At 45.3% G+C, this 6,528-nt stretch overlaps 1 pseudogene; it reads left to right on the top strand.

Moving 5' to 3' along the window:
- RPL19P10 (ribosomal protein L19 pseudogene 10) lies at positions 1,343-2,038 on the top strand (annotated as a pseudogene).

Below are 6,528 nucleotides of genomic sequence, written 5' to 3'. Positions count from 1 at the left end.
TCTCGACTTCCTGACCTCAGGTGATCCACCCACCTCAGCCTCCCAAAGTGCTGGGATTACAGGCGTGAGCCACCATGCCTGGCCAGAAGGTGTTAATATCCAAAACATATAAGGAGCTCAAACAACTCAGTAGCAAAAAGAACAAAAAAGAAAGAGAAAAAACAATTTATTTACAAATGGGTAAAGGACTTGAATAGACATTTTGCTTTCTTTCTTTTTTTTTTAGAGACAGGGTCTCACTCTGTCAGGCCAGAGTGCAGTGGTGTGATCTCAGCTCACTGCAACCTCTGCCTCCAGGCTCAAGCGATCCTTCATTCTCACCTCCTGAGTAGCTGGGACCACAGGCATGTACCACCACGCCTGGCTAATTTTTGTATTTTTCGTAGAGATGGGGTTTCATCATGTTGCCCAGACTGGTCTCAAACTCATAGGCTCAACTGTTCTGCTTGCCTCGGCCTCCCAAAGTGCTGGGATTTCAGGTGTGAGCCACCACGCCTAGCTGAAATCAGTATCTTGAAGAAATGTCTGCACTGCCATGTTCATTGCAGCATTATTCACAATATCCAAGATGCGAAAACAGCCTAGATGTCCACGGAAGGATGGACAGATAAAATGTGATAGATGTGTGTGTGTGTGTGTGTGTAGATATGTATGTGTATATATGTATTAATATATGTATACATATATGCAGTGTACATATGTGTGTGTATTCATATAATGGAATATTATTCACCCTTTAAAAAGAAGAAAATTCTGCCATTTGCAGCAACATGGATGAACCTAGAGGACATTATGCTAAGTGAAATAAGCCAGGCACAAAAAGACAAAGCGCATGGCCTCACTTACATGTGGGCTCTAAAGCAGTGGAATTCATAGAGGCATGGAGTAGAGGTGGTAGAGGTGGTTGTCAGGGTTTGGGGAGATGGTAGTAACCGAGTGACGCTGGTCAAAGGTACAAAGCTTCAGTTCTGCAGGATGAATAATTCTGGAATAAGTCGTGATGTACAGCATGGTGATGATAGTTAACAATGCTGTATGGTATACTTATGCTCTCAATACACACACACACACGGTATGTGAATTAGTTTGACTGTGGTACCATTCACAATGATACCATTGTGAATATCAAGCATCTGAAACATCAGGTTGCATACCTCAAATACCAACAACTTTTTATTTGTCAGTTATACCTCAATAAAGCTAGAAGAAGATGGTGACAAGAGGGAAGAGGCCAGAGAGAAGGCCGCAGTGTGAGCCAGCCCGGGTTCTTATGCGAGGAACACACACACAAACAAGTAAAGAATAAAGTCTATGTTTAAGAAAACACCAAAATGTTACTAAAAGTTATCTCTCTTCTCTGCTGTGGCTGCAGCCATGAGCATGCTCGGGCTTCAGAAGAGGCCTGCCGCTAGTGTCCTCCGCTATGGCAAGAAGAAGGTCTGGTTGGACCCCAATGAGGCCAATGAAATCGCCAGTGCCAACTCCCGACAGCAGATCCGGAAGCTGATCAAAGATGGGCTGATTATCTGTAAGCCTGTGACTGTCCATTCCCAGGCTCAATGCCGGAAAAACACCTTGGCCCACCGGAAGGGCAGGCACATGGGCACGGGTAAGCGAAAGGGTACAGCCAATGCCCCAATGCCAGAGAAGGTCACGTGGTGAGCAGAATGAGGATTCTGCGCCCGCTGCTCAGAAGATACCGTGACTCTAAGAAGATCAATCACCACATGTATCATAGCCTGTACCTGAAGGTGAAGGAGAGTGTGTTCAAAGACAAGCAGATTCTCATGGAACATATCCACAAGCTGAAGGCAGACAAGGCCGGCAAGAAGCTCCTGGCTGACCAGGCTGAGGCCTGCAGGCCTAAGACCAAGGAAGCACGAAAGCAACGTGAAGAGTGCCTCCAGGCCAAGAAGGAGGGGATCATCAACACTTTGTCGAAGGACGAAGAGATGAAGAAACAAAAGCTCCCCCTTTGTCTGTACATACTGGCCTTTGTGATTACATAGATCAGCCATTAAAATAAAACAAGTCTTAAAAAAAAAAAAGGATGGGTGCGATGGCTTATGCCTGTAATACCAGCACTTTGGGAGGCCGAGGTGGGCGGATCACCTGAGGTCAGGAGTTTGAGACCAGCCTGGCCAACATGGTGAAACCCTGTCTCTACTAAAAATGCAAAAAAAAAAATAGCTGGGCGTGGTAGCGGGCACCTGTAATCCCAGCTACTCAGGAAGCTGAGGCACGAGAATCGCTTGAACCCAGGAGGCAGAGGTTGCAGTGGCGAGACCACACCATTGCACTCCAGCCTGGGCAACAAGAACAAAACTCTGTCTCAAAATAAATAAATCAATAAATAAAAGTTATCTCTGAGTAGTGGGATTAGCCTGTTAATTTTTTGAATTATACATGTCAAAATGTAAAATGTGTATTATTGGTGTATATTTTAAATCAAAGAGTATCTGTTTATGTATTTTTTTTTTTTTGAGATGGAGTCTCATTCTTGTTGCCCAGGCTGGAGTCTAATGGTGTGATCTCAGCTTGCTACAACCTCTGCCTCCTGGGTTCAAGCGATCCTCCTGCCTGAGCTTCCCAAGTAGCTGGGATTACAAGCATGCGCCACCAAGCCCGGCTAATTTTGTATTTTTAGTAGAGTCGGGGTTTCACCATGTTGGTCAGGCTGATCTGGAACTCTTGACCTCAAGTGATCCACCTTCCTCGGCCCCCCAAAGTGCTGGGATTACAGACGTGACCCACCATGCCCAGTCCAAAGAGTGTCTGTTTAAATTAAATTCTTTTTTTTTTTTTTGAGACAGGGTCTCACTCTGACACCCATGCTGGAGTGCAGTGACATGGCTTATGGCTCACTGCAGCCTCAACCTCCCAAGCTCAGGCAATTCTCCCACCTCAGTCTCTCATGTAGCTGGGACTACAGGCGTGCACCATGCCCAGCTAATTTTTGTATTTATTGTAGAGACAGGGTTTCCCTTTGTTGTCCAGGCTGGTCTCAAACTCCTGGGCTCAAGCGATCCACCTGCCTCAGCCTCCCAAAGTACTGAGATTACAGTACTGTGAGCCACTGTGCCCAGCCCTAAATTGAACTATTGAACTAGCCAATATAATTTAGAAATTTAGAATTAATTAGAAATTTATTTATTTCATTTTAAATTTTTATTTATTTGTTTTTTTGAGAGAGAGTCTCACTCTGTCACTCAGGCTGGAGTGCAGAGGTGTGATCCCAGCTCACTGCAACCTCCACCTCCTGGGTTCAAGCAATTCTCCTGCCTCAGCCTCCCAAGTAGCTGGGATTACCGGCACCTGCCACCACGCCTGGCTAATTTTTGTATTTTTGGTAGAAACGGGGTTTCGCCATGTTGACCAGGCTGGTCTCAAACTCCTGACCTCAAGTGATCCCCCTGCCTCGGCCTCCCAAAGTGCTGGGATTACAGGCATGAGCTCCCAGCCTTATTTATTTATTTGTTTATTTATTTATTATTTTGACAGGCTCTCTCTCTGTCAACCAGGCTGGAGTGCAGTGGTACAATCATGGCTCATTGCAGCCTCAAACTCCCAGGCTCAAGCTATCCTCCCACTTGGCCTCCCAGAGTGCTGGGATTACAAACGTTAACCACTATGCCTGGCTAGAAATTTAGAATTAATTTAGGATTTTGCTTAAACCAACTATTTTCTCCTAAGCGAATGCAGGACCAACTTTTTTTTTTTCCCGAGACAGAGTCTCACTCTGTTGCCCAGGCTGGAGTGCAGGGTGCAATCGCGGCTCACTGCAACCTCCACATTCTGGGTTCAAGTGATTCTCATGCCTCAGCCTCCCGAGTAGCTGAGATTACAGGCATGCGCCACCACGCCTGGCTAATTTTGTATTTTTAGCAGAGACGGGGTTTCTCCATGTCTCGAACTCCTGACCTCAGGTGATCCGCCCGCCTCGGCCTCCCAAAGTGCTGGATTGCAGGCGTGAGCCACCGCGCCTGGCCCATGCAGTAGATATTTATAAAGGGCCTCCTATGTGCCAGGTGAGGTAAGTCAGAGAACTCCCAGCGCTGGGGCCTGAGCCACTGAGTGAGTGGCGAGCCATTAATGGGTACAGGAAGGCCAGGAGTTAAGTCACACTTGGGCTGAGAGTGGTGGAGTCAAGAGGTCGGGTTGGGAAGTGCTAAATTTAAAATGCCCATTATATATCGTCTAAGGGTCTGAATGCAGGCGCCCAGGAACTCAGGGGAGAGGGTGGGATGGAAAGAAAAATCCTGGCAGTCAGTCAGTGAACACTGGTCCCCAGAGCCTGCCCGGATTTGAGTTACTGTCAGTATTTGGGTTCAAACCCTAAAAGCTGAGGAGCTGATCCTGACCTGGAGATCCGTTTCAGCAGGGATGTGTCTGTCTCCGTGCTGACTCTTAGTGAGGTTTAGAATAGTGTGACAAACTCAGAGTTACAGCAGAGGGCGCTGTCAATCTAAAGTCCTAAAGCGCAGGAAAGGTTTGTGATATGCTGGGTGGATTTCAGCTTAAAACATAGTAAAATAATTGAGAAAGGGTCTACACCATATCTTGGCTTATAACCTGAAATAAAACAGAATCTGTAATATTTTACCTTGAAATATCACTGTGTCCTGAAATGCAAATAAGACAAATAACACATATTAAAGAACAAATTAATGATTTACATGACCATGTGATTGTAGTTTATAATCTTATAAGAGTTCTTTAAATTCACAGGAGTCAGCACAGAGCTGATATTTTAGGGAAAACATATTGTATGCCACATTATACACATACACACAGAGTACAATTCTGATTTTTTTTTTTTTTTTTTTTTTTTTTTGAGACAGAGTCTCGCTCTGTAGCCCACGCTGGAGTGCAGTGGCGCGATCTCGGCTCACTGCAAGCTCTGCCTCCCGGGTTCATGCCATTCTCCTGCCTCAGCCTCCCGAGTAGCTGGGACTACAGGCGCCCGCCACCACGCCCGGCTAATTTTTGTATTTTCAGTAGAGACGGGGTTTCACCGTGTTAGCCAGGATGGTCTCGATTTCCTGACCTTGTGATCCGCCCGCCTCGGCCTCCCAAAGTGCTGGGATTACAGGCATGAGCCACCGCACCCTGCCCAATTCTGATCCTTTTTAAGAGTTAAGAATAGATGAAATATAGACATTGTGATTGCAGTAAACATGTTAATTGACAAGTGATAGCAAGTTTTTCCTCACTATCAGGCGAAGCAAAGTAGTCCTGGTGATACAAGCTACTTGTAGGACTTAAATGGCATGAACCGAAGGAAAACAAAGGACAAATAGTGAATAGGTGCCAATTCAAGATTTAAAAATAATTTTTTTTTTATGACCAGGCGTGGTGGCTCATGCTTGTAATCCCAGCACTTTGGGAAGCTGGGAGGTAGGAGGATTGCTTGAGCCCTGGAGTTTGAGACCAGCCTGGGCAACACAAGGAGAACCCCATCTCTACAAACGTTAAAAAAAATTAGCCAGGTGTGGTGGCTCATGCATGTGGTCCCAGCTACTTGGGAGACTGAGGTGGGAGGATCACTTGAGCCCAGAGGGTCAAGGCTGTGGTGAGCTGCTGAGATCATGCCACTGTACTCCAGCCTGAATGACAGAGTGATACTCTGTCTAAAAAAAAAAAAAAAAAAAAAAAAGGAAAAGATAGCCTGATAGTACTGATGAAACACTTAGAACAGTGCCTGGTACACAGAAGGCACTCAATAAATGCTAGTTCCTTTCTTCCTTTGCTCCATTTATTTCATTTTCTTTTCAATTTACTTCTAATAAAAATATTATGTTTCCGGCTGGGCACGGTGGCTCATGTCTGTAATCCCAGCACTCTGGGAGGCCAAGGCAGGCGTATCACCTGAGGTCAGGAGCTCGAGACCAGCCTGGCCAACAAACATGGTGAAACCCCGTCTCTACTAAAAATACAAAAATTAGCCGGGCGTGGTGGCCAACACCTGTAATCCCAGCTACTCGGGAGGCTGAGGCAGGAGAATTGCTTGAACCCGGGAGGTGGAGGTTGCAGTGAGCTGAGACCACACCATTGCACTCCAGCCTGGGCAACAACAGTGAAACTCCGTCTCAAAAAAAAAAAAAAAAGTGTTTGCCACAAAGATTAGTAACATTAAGTATCATTCTCTATTATTGATTTGAGATGTTAGGAATGCAAAAGATAAAAAGTAGGGGCTCTTGGCAGATAGAAAGTAAACTTCCAATTGAGAACTCACTCTGTGGGTTTGTTATCGCTGCTGTTTGTTTTTGATAATGTGCAATTATAGAAATTTACAAAGATCCTTTTAAGAGGGCAATGTCCTGCTTTCAGAGTCAGTTTGCTTAGGCATAGATCAGCTCATAGACTCTCTGTCGCCTTGCTATTGAATTAGGGCTATATTTTTGACAAGTACAGCAGCCGTATCGTCACTTTAATCACCCAATAATCCACTGTGTCTCTTTATGCTAATAAATAAAACATCCTTCGTTAAATATTTCCTAGTAAGCAATCGAAGACCTGTAATCTCCA

The sequence above is a fragment of the Homo sapiens genome, chromosome 5 (assembly GCF_000001405.40).
Source record: "Homo sapiens chromosome 5, GRCh38.p14 Primary Assembly".
NCBI classification, from domain to species: Eukaryota; Metazoa; Chordata; class Mammalia; order Primates; family Hominidae; genus Homo; species Homo sapiens.
Note: the sequence above shows the minus strand (reverse complement) of the source record. Positions and strands in the feature narration are given on the sequence as shown.